Raw genomic sequence first — 18,727 nt, forward strand, 5'->3', positions numbered from 1 at the left:
TAGGAAGAAGCAGAGAGAAAAAGAGAAATAGGAAGAGAGAAAAAGAAATGAGGAGAGAGTATAAGAAAAATAAAGAAGAAAGAGGAAAAGAAAAATGGTTTAAATGAGAGGCAAATGTCATCTGATGTTTTACCATGGGGCCATAGGGTATTTGAAGTTTCAGAAAATTCATAAGTTATTAAAAAATGTGACTCTAGGGTAGTGAGGTTATAACTTGTAAGAAAACAAGAAGTGATTCCTTTTAAGAGAACCTTCTTGGCCGGGTGCTGTGGCTCACGCCTGTAATCCCAGCACTTTGGGAGGCCGAGGCGGGTGGATCACGAGGTCAGGAGATCGAGACCATCCTGGTTAACACAGTGAAACCCCGTCTCTACTAAAGATACAAAAAATTAGCTGGGCGCCGCAGCGGGCACTTGTAGTCCCAGCTGCACGGGAGGCTGAGGCAGGAGAATGGCGTGAACCCGGGAGGCGGAGTTTGCACTGAGCAGAAATCGCGCCGCTGCACTCCAGCCTGGGGAACAATGGGGAACAAAGCAAGACTCCGTCTCAAAAAAAAAAAAAAAAAAAGAAAAGAAAAAGAGGAACTTCTTAAAGATGCGGTTGTCTTTCTTATGCTTCCTTTAGCTCTTTTTTACCTCTCCACTGATACAGATTTTTATACCAAATAGCTGGCATTAGCTAAACCAATGTCTAGGAGAACTGATCCTCACGAAGGAAAATCATAATTTATTATTTTTTTAATTCATGGCATTTATTTGTACAAGAAATATATTTCTATTTAAGAGAAAGTAGAAAACAAAGGAGAACAGAAACAACTTTTTTTTTTTTTTTTTTTTTTTTTTTTTTGAGACAGAATCTCGCTCTGTCGCCCAGGCTGGAGTGCAGTGGCACGATCTCAGCTCACTGCAAGCTCTGCCTCCCGGGTTCACGCCGTTCTCCTGCCTCAGCCTCCAGAGTAGCTGGGACTACAGGCGCCCGCCACCACGTCCGGCTAATTTTTTTGTATTTTTAGTAGAGACGTGGTTTCACTGTGTTAACCAGGATGGTCTTGACCTCCTGACCTCGTGATCCGCCCGCCTCAGCCTCCCAAAGTGCTGGGATTGCAGGCGTGAGCCACAGCGCCCGGCCGAAAAAACTTTTTAAAATTTGTTTGGGGATCTCCCATATTTGCCAAAGTAATCCCACAAAAACAATTAACATTTGACTTTGAAAATTAAGACAAAAAATACAATGATGAATATTTTCTTGTAAAAGCAAAGACAGTAAAAATATTCAGATTTAAAATAAGCCTGAGAAAAAGCATGATTTCCTTGAGCTTACCTAAGTAAACTTATTTACAAGTGACTGTATCAATAATTAGCAAAAGTAAAAGTCATTATGAAATCCTCCAAATCTTTCAAAGTACTATCTTACATTCAAGCATTGAGTTTGCCCATAAAATTATTTAAGCTCAACCTTTTCCTCAATCTCCAAAACTCTGGCGTGTAACTACACAAACACTTCAATAGGGGACAGAATCTCCTTTTATCATTCATTCTACCAAACATCAACTTCATAAGAATTAGAATCAAGTGTAATAAGAATGAACTATATAGAATCATTGATATAAATTTATAGGTGTTCAGACATAACCTTTAGACATATTTGTCAGTGTACATGTAAACAATACTCAATAACTTCTTTAATAGAGTTCTCCAGAGAAACAGAACCAATTGGATGTGGGTATATAACTCAGTTATATATTTCATCAGCTTCCTTTTTATGTAATAGAAACTAACTACAGCTAATGATGAATTTTTTTCATTCATTCATCATTAAAAGGGGAGAGAGAAATCCAGGCTGGGTTTGTGCCATTTTTATTCCCTCACAGTTCTCTTCTTGCTGCATGATTCTTCCTTTCAGATATTAACCAGAAGGAATGGTTAGCCTGACTATAGCTCTAGAGGAGCAACACAGGCTCTGGATAATGAGGATGCACAGGCTTTAATCAGTCCTAGCAGGAGGTCTTGGCTTAGACAACTATGTAGAGTTGATGGTATCCCTATAGGAAAAAAATATATATATATATGTTTTTGTGGTAGCAGGACAGAGTCAGTTTCAGACATTTGTTCAACAACTGTTGGTGTTCAACATATATTAGTATTTTGCACTAGGTACTATGTGCTAAAAGTATAGTAAGGAATAAAAATAGGGAAATAAACAAAAACAAAATAAAGAAACAGAGAAAATTCCTATTACCCTTTAGGAAAAACAACATAAAATAAAGTAACAGAATCTAGAAACAGAGAATAACAAGATAGAAGCCTACTATATACCACCATTATCAACCTGTCAAAATAAACATTGTCAGTAGTGAGACAAACTGGAATCATGTACCACCTGATAGGATGCAATGAAAAAAACGCAGCATCAATTCTGTGATATTCTTGCCAAAATGCATTGCCTGACTCTAGTCACAAGGAAACCTCAGAAAACCTAAAGGGAGCCATTCAAAAAAGAAGGAAGGGAAAAGGAAAAAGTAAGGGAAAGAGGAGAGAAGGAAGGGGAGGGGGAAGGGAAGGGGAGAGGGAAGAGAAAAAGGAAGGGGAAAGCGAAGGAGAAAGGAAAGGAGAAAAGGAAGGAGAAGCAAAGCAAAGGAAAAAAAGAAGAAAATATGGGCCAGAAATCTTGGTTAAGTTAGGTCTAAAGATCTATTCTTGATACAAGGACATTAAAAAGACATGACAATGAAAGGCAATGCATGATTCTGAACTTGATCCTTTTGCTATGAAACATTATTGGGACTATTGGTGAATTTTTTTTTTTTTTTTTTGAGACGGGGTCTCGGTCTGTCGCCCAGCCTGGAGTGCAGTGGCGCAGTCTGGGCTCACTGCAAGCCTCGCCTCCTGGGTTCACGCCATTCTCCTGCCTCAGCCTCCCGAGTAGCTGGGACTACAGGCACCCACCACCACGCCCGGCTAATTTTTTCCTTTTTTTTTTTGTATTTTTAGTAGAGACGGGGTTTCACCCTGTTAGCCAGGATGGTCTTGATCGCCTGACCTCGTGACCCATCCGCCTCGGCCTCCCAAAGTGCTGGGATTACAGGCGTGAGCCACCGTGCCCGGCTGACTATTGGTGAAATTTTAATGCGGACTTGATAATTAGATGTAGCAATATATTAATATTAATTTTCTGGTTTTGTTCGTTGTACTGTGCATGTATTGCATTTGGGGGGGCACATATATTACTGTAACAGATTTGTAATATATACAATTATATATATGTATATACATATATAGACACAATTGTGTTTGTAGAAAATATATATGAAAGCAAGGTTTTTCAACTTTGGCACTATCGCTTCTGACATTTGGGCCACATAATTCTTTGTTGGGGGCATTTCCTGTGAATTGCAGGATGTTTAGCGACTTGGTTTGCCTTTAATAACTAAATGACAGTAGCATCCTCCTCACACCTTTCCCCAGGCTAACAACTAAAAATATCTTGAGATATTATCAGATGTTTCCTGGAGGGCAAAACTCCCCCTGGTTGAGAATCAGTCTACTAAAGTATTTGGAGATGACAGAGCATCAGGTTCGTTTCTATATATTATTAAAGTATCTTTCAAAGTTGAAGGTAAAATTAAGACATTTTCGGAAAAATTAAATGGGCCAATTTGTCACCAGCAAATCTGTACTACAAAACATGCTAGCAGAAGTTTTCTGGCCTGAAGGGAAATAACGTCGAATCTAAACTCCAGATTAGAGGAAATGAAAAGCATAGAAATGGTAAGTATATGAGTAACAGGAAATACTTTTTTTTAATCTGCCGATTTTGTTGAAGGGAAACTGACTATTTAAATTTAAAAAGATATCATTTTATTGTGGGGTTTATGATGTGGACAGAAAAACTTATACTAAAAAAAATCACAAAAGACAGAGGGGGAGTAAAGGAAATGTTACCGTCATCAGTTTTTGTTGTTGTTGTTTTGGGTTTTTTTAATAGACTTTATTTTTAGGGCAGTTGTAAGCTCACAGCAAAATTGAAAGAAAGATACAAAGATTTCTCATACATCATTGTGTCCACACAGGCACAGCCTGACCCCTTGCTGTCATTCTCCTCTGGAGTGGCACATTACTTACCGCTGATGAACCTGCACTGGCACATCCTTATCACCAAGGTCCATAGTTATATTAGGGTCCACGCTTGCTGTCATACATTCTATGAGTTTAGGCAAATTCATATACCAGTATAGTATCATGCAGAATAGTTTTCTGCCCTGAAAGTCTTCTGTGCATATGAATAGGATAGGTGGAGCACAGATCACTTTTTAGGAAAATGTTGCCTTGTTTTGATTTGACAAAGTAGGCAACACTATCAATCACTGGAGAGAATGTAAAAATAGAACAGATGTCATCAGTTTTTTACATTATATATGAAGTTGTCAAAAATTACCTCGAAGTAAAATTTAGATTAGTTAAGTATAAATTGATGATTATTGTAATACAAATAACTCAATACAAAAAAGCGTTGCAACTAACTCATCTATGCAATTTAAAATGAATACTTAAAATACAATTAAACAAAAATATGAGAAGAGAAACAAGAGATTGTACAGTTTTTAAAAGTGGCAACACATTTCATTTAACATATTTATGAACTAAATTATTCAATTACAAGGTAGAGACTGTCATATTAGACAAAAGAATGAGACCCAACTAATGTTGTCTACCAGAAACATACATTAAACATAAAGACACAGATAGATGAAAAGTAAACCTACAAGAAAAGATAAACCATATACACAGCAAGCATTAGGAAGCTTGTGTGGCTACATTAGCAAAATGCAATGTAGACTGGAAAAGAGGGTGCATTATAAGAGAAAATGGGGGCATTTCATAATTATGAAAGAACCAATTCATCAGAGGACAATAATATTGCTTATATTATTGTCCTCTGATGAATTGGTTATTATATTATTGTCCTAATATGACATATATGTCCATAATTATGAAATGCCCCCATTTCATAATTATGAAAGGGACACCAACTTAATAATAAAGCCTCATAATTCATGAAGGAAAAAGCAGAATTGAAGGGAGAAATGGATAAATGACAATAATAATTAAAGATTTTAACATCCCTCTGTTCATCACTGATTGAACAGTAAGACAAACCATTCGTATGGCTATAGAACATTTCAACTTCATTATAAATCACCTTGATCTTATTGACATTTATAAAAACTACATTTCAAATGCTGAATATACATTGTTTTCTTGTGTATTGAAAGCACCACCAACATAGGCCAAATGCTGAATCAAAGAGTAAGTTTAAATGAATTTAACTTACTCAAGCTTTAGATTTTATAGAATATATTCTCTGATCACAATAAAATTTAATTTGAAATCGATGACATAAGAGATTCCTAGGAAACCCCCAAATAGTTGTAAATAACATGAAACACTATTTAACTCATAGTTCATAAAAGAAATCAAAAGATAATTTAGAAAAAATATAAAATAAGGAAAACAGTATATTAAATAAACATCTGCACCTAGATGTTTATTGCAGCACTATTCACAATAGGCAAGATATGGAATCAACCTAAGGGTCCAGCAACAGATGATGGTTAAAGAAAATGTGGTATATAGGCCGGGCACGGTGGCTCACGCCTGCAATCCCAGCACTTTGGAAGGCCAAGATGGGTGGATCACTGGAGGTCAGGAGTTCGAGACTAGCCTGGCCAACATGGTGAAACCCCATCTCTACTACAAATATAAAAATTAGCTGGGCATGGTGGCACGTCCCCAGCTACTCGGGAGGCTGAGGTGGAAGATCACTTGAATCCGAGAGGCAGAGGTTACAGTGAGCCAAGATCACACCATTGCACTCCAGAGCAAGACTCCATCTCAAGAAGGGAAAGGAAGGAGAGGAGAGGGGAGAGGAGGGGAAGGGAGGGGACAGGAGGGGAAAAGGAATAGATACACAATGAAGTACTATTCGGCCATAAAAGCAACATGCATAGAAATGGAGTGTATTATGTGAGTGAAATGAGCCAAGAAGAGAAAGTTAAACATTACAGCTTCTCACTCATATGTGGAAGCTAAAATATTTTGATCTTATAGAAGTTAAAACAGAGGATGCTAGAGGCTGGAAAGTATAAGAGGGAGGGAGGGATAGGGAGAGATTTGTTAAAAGATTCAAAATTAAAGCTAGATAGGAGGAATAAGTTCTAATGCTCTATACCATTATGGTATGACAATAGTTAACAATAACATATAGCTTCAAATAGTTAGCAAAGGATATTGAATGTTCCCAAAACAAAGAAATGATAAATGTTTGCAATGATGGATATGCTAATTACCATCACCTCATCAGGGTAATTAAATATATACACTATGAGTATTGAAACATCACTATGTACCCATAAATATGCACAATTATTATGTGCCAATTAAAAAAATAAAATAAAATTATGATAATAAAAGCTTCATATTTGTGGTGTAGAGTTAAATTGAGAGGGTAATTTATTATTTGAAATTCTTCTATTAGAAAAATACGTAGGTTTAAAAGTCAATGAAAAAATAAACAAAACGTAATTTGAAAAAATAAAATAACAGGTAATGAAAGAAATAAATGAAATTGAAAGTAAATAAATTCACAAAGTGAAAAGTTCCTTTGAAAAAATCAGTAAAGTTGTTACATACTAGTAAGACTAAGAAAAAAGGACTGATAAAAGAAGAAATATCATTACAGAACCTCTATATTTAAATGATAATAACTATTATGAACAATTCCATACTCAAGAATTTGGCAGCTTAAAGTTCTGTAAAGAGACAAATTACCAAAGCTTATTTAAGAACAAATTCATAATGTGAATTTTTCTGTATCTATATGTATCCAGATAGTCTAGGTTTTCTAATTTCTGGCCTATGGTTGCTCATAGTAGCCTCTAATGATCCTTACAATTTCAACAAAGAAATTCAGAAGAAATTGAAAAGTTTATTGAAGCAGATAAAAACGGCAACACAACATACCAAAACCTATGGGATACAGCAAAAAGCAGTAGTAAGAGGGAAATTTATACCTATAATTTCCAAGATCAAAAAAGTGAAAAACCTCAAATAAATAACCTGATGATACATCTTTTTTTAAGGTCACTATAAATTTTAATCTATGATATAAAATATTACCTACAGATATAATTGAACATCAGGTATCAGAAAATAAAACATAACAATGAAATGCAATTTTGTAAATACTTCTATGGTACAAGCATTATTTTCCTCAGATTCAACCTTTTAATTGTGTTTTGTTTGCTTTCTGAAAATCACACTTTATAAAGAACACAAGTAGAGCTTGTTAAAATGATTGTCACAGATGTACTGTTTACTAATTCAAAAAATACTACATTCATTCGCTCATATCAATTTTATTCATTAATTATGAAGAAGAAAATATAATATTCCATGCTTGTCATGAAATAGCGGTTTCTTCTTCCAGTCTAATCAGGGAACTAATAAATGCTTAGTTCATGGCAAAACTTCCATTTGATTTACATTGACTTAATTACCTCTTAGGGTCTAGCCTCATCAATGGAGAAAAAGCACTTTTTCTTGAGGCAACAGCACATTAACAGCACTGAATACAAAATATGGCAAATTCAATGGCTGTCAGCATTGCTTTAGGAATTTTGAGACTATAAAAAAACTATAACCATGAATAAAAGAAAAGGGCTTATTAATATCTTCTTTTTGGGAGAGTGATACATTCTGAAGGTTTCTTGTTATTCTGTTGAATAGCAAGGACTTCCAAACTTAAGTGTCTTAAGGCTGAAAATTAGTTACATTCCTCAGATTTTAGCCTTATTAATGAAATTCCAAAAGTATTATAAGATTTAGTATGTCTTGAAATTATAAATTTGTAACAGATATTTTTCAAAATACATGCCTTCAAACAACTTAAATGCAAAAATCATTCGTTCTTAATAATACCTAGCAGTTCATCCCTTGCTTCCCAGAAGTACTCATACAAACATGTGAATTTAAAAAATAGATTTTTCTGTTCAAAAAATAAAGCTTCTGCCCTTTTAAAAACTTGTCAGGCTTTCATTTGCCAAAATGTTGAAAACTGCACATATTCAAACATAGTTCCCGTAGGAACACATATTCCTCAACTCTCACACCTTTGAAGACACAGGAGACGGGCAATATAAATGTTCCCTTCTTTCCAGCTGATGTTAAATAGTTAGGTTTGCTTCATGAGATTATCGGAATAAAGGGTTAGATTTTCATTTTCCATTACTCTATCTAGTAAAATTAGACTTAAAGTAGGTAGAATACTACCAGAGGAATTACACAGTGATTGGCAAACTGGCCTAAAATAATCAGGCTTTTTATTTATACTTCCCTTTTTAAAGTTGTCATTTGACAACAGCTTCCATCTTTAACAGCAGGCAAAAGAAAATGAGGTGCCATGCTATATTAATTAAAATATTCCACAATGAAAGAAAATACAAAACCTGAAAATAACTTCAGTGCTATAGACATTTAAAAAGTTACAATGGTTAAAACTCTGAATAAAAAGATCTTGAGAACAGGTACATTTCAAAGCAATATTTTACACGCTTTGGAAAAAATAGCTATTTTTCAAATAACTTGATATATGGTTTACATATTTCATGCAGTCTCTGAGGTTTTTTTTTTCTACAGTACTGTTTTGCATTAAAGTCTCTCATGTTGTTTACCAGTAATTGTTTCCTTAGGCTGAAATAAAACTTTGCTTGTTCATTAGTTTTCTGTATATCCCATTTGGTTTTGAAAGCAGCTCTTCATGTTTTCCATATTCAGTAATTTTTCCTTGGTCAAGAACAGCAACCATATTAGCATTCTTAATGGTGGAGAGATGATGGGCAATAACTAACGCTGTTCTTCCATCCGTCAGTGGATCTAGAGCTTCTTGAACAAGGTACTCATTTTCAGCATCCAGCGCACTGGTTGCTTCATCTAGGAGAAGAATTTTGGGATTCTTCAGCAGAGCACGGGCAATTGCAATCCGCTGTTTCTGCCCACCTGAGAGGAGAACACCCTTTTCTCCAACCACAGTGTTGAACGCTTGGGGGAAATTCCGGATCAAGACCACTGCATTGGCCACTTCAGCCACTCTCTGGACTTGCTCAGCGGTCACAGAGGAAGGCCATCAGCACCATAAGCAATGTTCTCAGTGATAGAGCAAGAAAACAAAATGGGTTCCTGTCTCACTGTCCCAATCTTGGATCTCAGCCACACTGGGTTTAGCTGACGGATGTCATGGCCATCAAGACTGATGGTTCCAGAAGCAGGGTCGAACAACCTCAGCAGGAGCGAAAGCACTGTTGATTTGCCAGAACCACCTGGGCCAACCAGTGCCGTGACAGATCCTGACGGAATGGAAAGGCTGAAATCCTGAAATATGGGCGCCTCCGGGCAAGCGGGATCGGCAAAATGCACGTTCTTAAACTCCAAAGCACCCTGGAAGCTTTTCTCATTTAAGATAACCCTTCCCCCTCCTTAAAAGGCAGATTGGGCTCTCTCTCCAGGAGCTCCCAGAGGCGCCCCCCGGCACCCAGTCCTTTCATCAGCTCCGAGTAGAAAGAGCTCAGACCTCCAATGCTTATTCCAACCCCGAAAGCATACATAGGAAGGAAGAGAGTTCACCCATGGTCATGTGGGCACTGCCCATCAGCAGCCCCCCTTTGTACAGGACAGAAAGCACAATCAGGTTTCCGGACAGCCTAGTTCTCCAAAGAAGCCAGCCCGAGCGAATGCCTCTTTCCTTGCTGACTACATCACATGGTCCACTTTGCTGGCCTATTTTTCTATTTCAGTCATTTCTTTCCCAAAAGCTCGAACAGTTCTTAACATTTCCAATACGTTCCTCCTGAGTGGCTTGTGCCAGCGAATCCTGGGTGACTTTGGTCAGTTTCCGTAGATATCGTCCATAAATTACATCAATGATTGACACTAGACGCACCACACTCACAACAAAGGTGGCCCGATTAGGTGAGACACAAAACATCATCCTGATGCCTACAGAAGCCCGGGCCCCGGCCCTGAGCCCATCTGAGAGGTTTTCAGTCACTGAGCGCCCCAGGAGTGCAGTGTCCGATGAGAGGCGGTTAATCAATTCCCCTGTGCCAGCCTTGTCAAAGAAAGCAACCTCCTGCCCCAGAATGGAGGAGAATAACGAAGTTCTCAGCCTCTTCACAACGCGCTGACGTGAAGTTTGCATGAGGTAGACACGAATGGCATTGGCGGCAGCACCACATAGAAACACGCCACTGAGGCCAAGGCAGAGGCGGGTCAGGTTGTCGCTGTAGTCCACAGTGGGGTTGGTATAGATGGCATCGATGATCTTCCCCAGAAAGAAAGGGGCAGACATGGAGATAACACCGGACATCGGAGAAATCCAACCGCAGCTGCCAGCCTCTGGCGCTCAGGGTACTCCAGCCCCAGGAGCTTCCCGGCCTCCGAGAGTCCGGGCGCCATGGGTCGTAGCCGCTGGTCGTCCCGGGAAGGCGCCGCCCGCCCGCGCCGCCAGGCCTCCTCCCCTGCCGAGGCAGTGGCGGTGGGACCGCCCGGGAACCCGGTGCGCGGGAGCCGAGGAGCGCCCGGCCGGCAAGAGCCCCGCACCTGCAGCTGCCGGGCCCAAGCCCACAGCCCCGGGAGCCGTCCGAGGCCCGCGTGGCCCCCCGAGCCGCCCAGACCCCCGCCCCGGCAGCAGCTCCTCCAGCGGCGCGCGGCTCCAACGCCCCAGAGCAGCTCCGGCCCCGCGCCCCATAGCCGCGCCAGCCTCGGGGCAGTGAAGGGCGATATGGACTGGGGGCGCGGCTGGCCGGGGCCCACACACAGGCTACCGGCGGGAGCCGCCCTGGCTCTGCGGGGCCCGTGGCGCCGATACATCTTAAAAGAACTAGAAAAGCAAGAATAAACCAGACCCAAAATAAGTATAGAAGAAAGGAAAGAATAAAGATAAGAGCAAAAATTAATGAAATTGAAATGAAAAAATACAAAATATGAACAAAACGAAAAGTTCGTTTTTTAAAAAAGATAAACCAAACCAGTAACCTTTAGCCACACTAAAAAAAAACAAAAAACCCTAAATAAATAAAATCAAGATGAAAACGGGGACATTTTCATTGATACTGTAGAAATTCTAAGGATCATTAGAGGCTAGTATGAGCAACTATAGACCAATAAATTAGAAAATCTAGAATAAATGGATACTTTCCTAGATACATACAACCTAGCAAGAATGAACCACAAAGAAATCCAAAACCTGAAAAGACCAATAAGTAGTGAGACGGAAACAATTTTCCCAGGAAAAGCCGGGTGCAGTGGCTCACGCGTGTAATCCCAGCACTTTGGGAAGCCGAGGCGGGCGGATCACGAGGTCAGGAGATGGAGACCATCCTGACTAACACGGTCAAACCCCGTCTCTACTAAAAAAAATACAAAAAAAAAAAATTAGCTGGGCATGGTGGCGGGTGCCTCTAGTCCCAGCTACTCAGGAGGCTGAGGTAGGAGAATGGCGTGAACCTGAGGGGCGGAGCCTGCAAGTGAGTCGAGATCAGGCCACTGCACTCCAGCCTGGGCGACAGAGCGAGACGCCCTCTCAAAAAATAAAAAAAAGTTTCCCGGGAAAGAAAAGCCCAAGACCCGACGGCTTTACTCCTGAATTTTACCAAATATTTTTAAAAGTAGCACAAAATGCAGCAGCAGGATTCTCCTGCCCCAGCCTCCTAAGTAGCTGGGGCTACAGGTATGCACCACCACGCCTGACTAATTTAAAACTGTTTTTGTAGAGACAAGATCTCACTATGTTGCCCAGGCTGGTCTCAAACTCCTAGGTAAAATGATCCTCCCACCTCTGCCTCCCAAAGTGTTAAAATTGCAGGCATAAGCCATTGCCCCCGCCTGAAAAAATTTATATGTATATATATTTATATTTTATATATATATATATATGTATATATATATATATATGTATATATATATATATATATGTATATATATATACATATATATATATATATATATATATGTTTTTGTGTTTTTTTTGAGACAGAGTCTCGCTGTGTCACCCAGGCTGGAGTGCAGTGGCACGATATTGGCTCACTGCACCCTCTGCCTCCAGGTTCAAGTGATTCTCATGCCTCAGCCTCCTGAGTAGCTGGGATTACAGGCATATGCCACTACACCCGGCTGATTTTTGTATTTTTAGCAGAGACATGGTTTCACCATGTTGGTTAGGCTGGTCTTGAACTCCTGACCTCAAGTGATCCACCCACCTCAGCCCCCCAAAGTGCCGGGATTACAGGTGTGAACAACCATGCCTGGCCAAAAATAATTTTTTTAAAAAGATTTTGTTCTGATTCTGATGGGAAATGGACTCTTTTCTAAAGTTACTAGCAGTTCTTTAACTGGTTAGCTCTATGTTAGGCATAGGTATTACTTTTTAGGGTGGCAGGTATGTGAAAAAAGAAGGGAGGTGGACAAAACCAAGACAGCAGAAGTAACTATTTGAGGGATTTCAAAACCTTTGACTGACACTCACTTCCTGGGACAGTCTTGATTTTGCTACTCTTTCCTCATCTGTTTCTTTTCAAGCCTTGCTCCCTACACACTTACCCTAGTTCTAACCCTTCCTGCTGATGGGCACCCCATTCACAAGGCAACAGATACCAGATGTGAGGAATGGAAAGAAAAACATTCTTACTTGATTGTTCTTAGGAGTTATACAGTCAGGCTCTTGGTTGGAGGGCTCTGATGTGAAAGCTTGGCTTCAAGTCCACTGAGAAAGTAGTATGATTGAAGTGGTGAACTGGAGATGGGGTGGGGGTGGCCTACCACGAGGACTAATTTGTTCTTTACGTGTTTTTGTTTTTTTATTTTTTTAGACAAAGTCTCACTCTGTCGCCCAGGCTGGAGTGCAGTAGCGCAATCTTGGCTCACTGCAAGCTCCGTCTCCGAGGTTCATGCCATTCTCCTGCCTCAGCCTCCTGAGTAACTAGGACTACAGGCACCTGCCACCACACCTGGCTAATTGTTTGTATTTTTAGTAGAGACGGGGTTTCACACTGTTAGCTAGGATGGTCTCGATCCGCTAACCTCATGATCCACCCGCCTGGCCTCCCAAAGTGCTGGGATTACAGGTGTGAGCCACTGTGCGTGGCCTGTTCTTTATCTAATGGTTTGCAAGGGTGGAAATACCTCTGGGGAAATGTGATGGATTCTCCTAGGAAACTGACTTCACCAAATAATTCTTTTGAAACTGTTCAGAAACGAGACAAATGACATGAATCTATTTACAAAGAGAATTACCTCTGTGTCTGTGACCCAAGAGGCATTCCCATAGTGATACACTTGGACATTTGTTCAGGGGGCAAGCGCTCACGCCGAGTGATTTTTCTTTTTTCTTTTCTTTTCTTTTCTTTTTTTTTTTGTTTGTTTGTTTTTAAGACTGAGTCTCGCTCTGTCGCCCAGGCTGGAGTGCAGTGGTTCGATCTCAGCTCACTGCAAGGTCCCCCTCCCGGGTTCACACCATTCTCCTGCCTCAGCCTCCCCGGTAGGTAGCTGGGACTACAGGCGCCCACCACCATGCCCGGGTAATTTTTTGTATTTTTTTTTTTTTTTTTTTTTTATAGTAGAGACGGGTTTGACCGTGTTAGGCAGGATGGCCTCGATCTCCTGACCTTGTGATTTTCAAAGCTGTTCGAGGGCATTTATCAGGCTTTTAACTCTAGGTACTCTTTCCCACAGTGTGAAGGCCAAGAGAAGGGATCCTGGGCTCTCTTCCCTGGCCCCAGGATGGGAATTCAGGGGGAAAAGGTCACCTATTCTCCTATTCTTATCCCACAAAAGAAAACTTATGCATCAGTTGTCAAGCTAAGGAGCTTCAGAGTCCACAAATAGGGAAATTGCTGAGAGCTTATCAGTAGTGTCCACTACCCATCCCCACCTGGGGTCACGTGGAGAATGATGGTGGGGGCGACGATCTTGTCCTACTTCAGGTGAAAAGCAGGGGTGTGGGGGGGTTTCATTGTGAAGGGCTCCTTTGTTAAAATTCCTTCCAATTCCAGGAAAAACATGCACTCGAAAGCCATTATCTCTTTTACTTCTTACTAGGGAACTTCCAGGAAAGAGACGGGGGGGTGGGGGGTGGGGAAGAAGAGGGCAAAACAGCTGAGTGAATGTAGTCACCTCTCCGATTGCTTTTCTTGTTGCAGAATATTTCACATGCCAGGATTTTCCTTCTTGTCCTCCGGACTGTTGATACACCCAACATCTTAATACGCTTTCAATCACAAGTTAAAGACATCCAGAGCCAGATTGCTTGAGCCTAGGAGTTCCAGACCGGCCTGGACAACATGGTGAAACCCAGTCATATATATTTTTTTTTAGGGGGAAATTTGCTCTTGCTGTCCAGGCTGGAGTGCAGTGGCGAGGTCTCAGCTTGCCAGACCTCCGTCTCCGGGGTTTGGGTGGTTCTCCTGCCAAAGCCTCCTGAGTGGCTGGGATTGCGGTGTGAGCCACCATGCCCGACTAATTCCTTAACTGTGCAACTACAAGGTCACTAAACAAATAAACTCAAGTCACAAAACATATTTTTCCTTAAATAGTAAAAAATAATATAATGCATGTTTCAATTAAATAACAATCTTTGTTTCTCGCTTCTATAATATGCTTCTCCCTGCACAGATCTCCCCCTTCGCCCCACATAATGCTTGAAAGGTAACTCTTGGTTCAGTGCTCAATCCTTTAAATGTTAATCCGACTGGGCCGGTGCACCTAAATAATTAATAAATGTCCTCCTAAACCCCATGAGTCTATCTAATTCCTTAAAAATCCCTCTACAGGACTGCAGGTGTGAGCCACTGCACCCCGCCTAATTTATTAATCAGAGAGGAATAGATCGGCCTGGCGTGGTGGCTCACGCTTGTGATCCAGGGACTTTGGATGATGGAGCACTGGGGATCACTTGAGCCTAGGAGATCCAGACTGGCCTGGGCAACATGGTGGAACTCGGTCTCTCTCTTTTTTTTGTTTTTTTGGAGGCAGAGTTTTGCTCTTGTTGCCCAGGCTGGAGTGCAGTGGTGCAGTCTCGGCTCCCTGCCACCTCCACCTCTTGGGTTTGGGTGGTTCTCCTGCCTCAGCCTCCCTAGTGGCTGAGATTGCAGGTGTGAGCCACCATGCCCGGCTAATTTTTTTTTTTTTTGGTACACACAGGGTTTCTCCCTGTTGGTCAGGCTGGTCTCAAACTCAGGACCTCAGGTTATCCGCCTGCCTTGGCTTCCGGGGATGCTGGGATTGCAGGCGTGAGCCAGCGCGCAAGGCCCAATTGATTAATCAGAAAAGAATAGATCAGCCTGGCGTGGTGGTTCACGCTTGTGATCCCAGGACGTCGGACGGCCGAGCGCTGGGGATCACTTGAGCCTAGGAGTTCCACACCGGCTTGGGCAACATGGTGAAACCCGGTCTCTCTTTTTTTTGGCGGGGGGGGGTACAGGCAGGGTTTCTCCATATTCATCAGGCTGGTCTCAAACTCCCGACCTCAGGTTATCTGCCCGCCTCCTCGGCCTCTGGGGATGCTGGGATTGCAGGCGTGAGCCAGCGCGCCCGGTCCAGTTTATTAATCATAAAGGACTAGATCGGCCTGGCATGGTGGCTCACACTTGTGATCCCAGGAATTTGGACGGCAAGCGCGGCGGATCGCTTGAGCCTAGGAGTTCCAGACCTGCCTGGGTAACATGGTGAAACCTGGTCACTTTTTGTTTGTTTTGAGGCGGAGATTCGCTCTTGTTGCCCAGGCTGGAGTGCAGTGGTGAGGTCTTGGCTCAACGGGCCTCCGCCTCCAGGGTTTGGGTGGTTCTCCTGCCACAGCCTCCCGAGTGGCTGGGATTGCACGCGTGAGCCACCATGCCCAGCTCATTTTGTTTTTTGTTTGTTTTTGTTTTTATTGTTGGAGATGGGGTTTCTCCATGTTCATAAGGCTGGTCTCAAACTTCCCACCTCAGGTTATCCGCCCGCCTCGGCGTCCGGAGGTGCTGGGATTGCAAGCGTGAGCCAGCGCGCAAGGCCTAATCTATAAATCAGAAAGGAATAGGGCCGGGGATCCCTTGAGCCTAGGAATTCCAGACAGGCCGGGGCAACACGGTGAAACCCGCTCTCTTTTTTTTTTTTTTCTTTTTTTTTTTTTGCGGCAGTTTCACTCTTGTTGCCCGGTTGGAGTGCAGTGGCGCGGTCTCAGCTCCCCGCGGCCTCCGCTTCCGGGATTTGGGTGGTTCTCCTGCCTCAGCTTACCAAGTGGCTGAGATTGCAGGCATGAGCCAACATGCCCGGCTCTTTTTGTATTTTTTTTTTTTTTTTTGGTATAGACGGGGTTTCTCCCTTCGTCAGGGTAGTCTCAAACTCCTGACCTCAGATTACCCGTCTGCTTCGGCCTCCCGGGGTGGTGGGATTGCAGGCGTGAGCCACCATGCCCAGCTTATTTTTTTTTCTTTTTTGGTAGAGACGGGTTTCTCCATGTTGGTCAGGCTGGTCTCAAACTCCCGACCTCAGGTGATCCGCCCGCCTCGGCCTCCCAGGGTGGTGGGGTTGCAGGAGGGAGCCACCGCGCCGGGCGCAATTTATTAATCAGAAAGGAACAGATGGGCCTGGCGTGGCGGCTCATGCTTGTGATCCCAGGACTTCCGATGGCCGAGCGCGGCGGATCCCTTGAGCCTAGGAGTTACACGCCGGCCTGGGCAACATGGTGAAACTCAGTCTCTCTCTCTCTCTCTTTTTTTTTTTTTGAGAGGGAGTTTCACTCTTGTTGCCCAGGCTGGAGTGCAGTGGCAGGGTCTCAGCTCCCCGCAGCCTCAGCCTCCCGGGTTTGGGTGGTTCTCCTGGCTCAGCCTCCCGAGTGGCTGGGATTGCAAGCGTGAGCCACCATGCCCTGCTAATTTTTTTTTTTTTTTTGGTAGAGATGGGGTTTCTCCATGTTACTCAGGCTGGCCTCAATCTGACCTCAGGTTATCCGCCCGCCTCAGCCTCCCGGGGTGCTGGGATCGCAGGCGTGAACCACCGCAACCGGCCCAATTTTTAATCAGACAGGAATAGATCGGCCTGGCGTCATGGCTCACGCTTGTGATCCTAGGATTTTGGACGGCTGAGTGTGGCAAATCGCTTGAGCCTAGGAGATCCAGACCCGCTTGGGCAACATGGTGAAACCTGTTTTTTTTTTTTTGAGACGGAGTTTCCCTCTTGTTGCCCAGGCTAGAGTGCAGTGGCGCGGTCTCGGCTCGCCGGGCCTCCGCCTCCCGGGTTTGGGTGATTCTCCTGCTTCAGCCTCCTGAGTGGCTGGGATCAAGGGCGTGAGCCACCAAGCCTGGCTACTTTTATTTATTTATTTATTTATTTATTTATTTAGGTTGAGATGGGGTTTCTCCATGTTGGTCGGGCTGGTCTCCTGCTCCTCACCTGGGGAGATCCGCCGGCCTCGGCCTCCAGGGGTGGTGCGATTGCAGGCGTGAGTCACTGTGCCTGGCCGGAAACCCAGTCCCTTAACGGAAAAACAAAACAAAAACCACAAAGATTAGCCAGACCTGGTGGGCCCCCCTGGGTAGTCCCAGCTACTCTGAAGGCTGATGCAGGAGGATTGCTTGAGCCCGGGGTGGAGGTGGCAGTGAGCCATGATGGCGCTGCTGCAGTCCAGACTGGGTGACAGAGCAGGACTGTGTCTCAGGAAAAGGGAAAGGAAAAAAAGAATAATAAAAAGAAGTATATAAAATTGCTAAATCCAGGAACAGCTTCACAGTATATTGAGAGAAATAGAGGCAAAGGTTAGCAGACACCAATGTTCACTTAGTGGAACTGCAGGTGTCCCCAGACAGGAGGCTGCTACTTTTCCAACAGAAATCTATTATTGACCAAAAAAAGTTAGTTTGTTACAATATACAAATAGCTAAACTTTATATAGCCACGACCCTCTTCTAGCACTGCTCTAAGCCTTTTCCTGCTCTGGAATAGCTACTATTGTTACCTCCATTGTAGAGAAAACAGATGGGGGAGGTTGTTGTGGAAGGACCAGGGAAACTGACTATGAAATTGACTTGTAAGTTTAGGACTTAAAGGTTCTTCCTGCTTTGCTCCTTACATTGCCACATTTTAGTTAACATACCTCTTAAAATACTGGTCCTTTCTGTATTTGGAGGGACTCCTCTTGCAGTTTGAAGTTTTTTCTTACACTAAGCATCTGGTTAGAAGATCATCTCCATTTTATGTCAGTTTAAGTTTAGACATTGTTCAGTAAGGAATGTAAATATGAGCAAACAGTTATCTGATTGAAATAGATAAACTAGAAAAAAAATCACCTATGAGAAAGTCAACAAAATGTCAACTCTGGATTTGTGGCTATTTTCAGAATATTAATTTTTTGATATTTAATGGCATTGTGAATATATTTATTTTTAAGAATTCCTTGTCTTCTACAGATACATATAAGGTAATTAAAAATGATAGGATGTATAGGTTTTACTTCAAAATAATTCAGAGGAAGAAGGAATGTATATAAATGAAGTGGGAATATAAATGAAACAAAACTGGCTGTGGCCAGGTGTGGTGGCTCACGCCTGTAGTCTCAGCACTTTGGGAGACCGAGGCAGGTGGATCACCTGAGGTCAGGAGTTCAAGACCAGCCTGGCCAACGTGGTGAAACACCATCTCTA

At 42.5% G+C, this 18,727-nt stretch overlaps 1 pseudogene, besides 2 other annotated features; it reads right to left on the bottom strand.

Moving 5' to 3' along the window:
* On the bottom strand, positions 8,549-10,912 carry ABCB10P4 (ABCB10 pseudogene 4; annotated as a pseudogene).
* Positions 9,862-10,363: an enhancer, noted in NCBI's record as "H3K4me1 hESC enhancer chr15:28752889-28753390 (GRCh37/hg19 assembly coordinates)". NCBI's record gives its function as "activates a minimal SCP1, AML or CMV promoter by ChIP-STARR-seq in primed H9 embryonic stem cells {active_cell/tissue: H9 hESC(primed)}" and the evidence as "EXISTENCE:reporter gene assay evidence [ECO:0000049][PMID:30033119]".
* Positions 10,364-10,863: an enhancer, noted in NCBI's record as "H3K4me1 hESC enhancer chr15:28753391-28753890 (GRCh37/hg19 assembly coordinates)". NCBI's record gives its function as "activates a minimal SCP1, AML or CMV promoter by ChIP-STARR-seq in primed H9 embryonic stem cells {active_cell/tissue: H9 hESC(primed)}" and the evidence as "EXISTENCE:reporter gene assay evidence [ECO:0000049][PMID:30033119]".

This window comes from Homo sapiens, chromosome 15, assembly GCF_000001405.40.
Source record: "Homo sapiens chromosome 15, GRCh38.p14 Primary Assembly".
In the NCBI taxonomy this organism is placed as follows: Eukaryota; Metazoa; Chordata; class Mammalia; order Primates; family Hominidae; genus Homo; species Homo sapiens.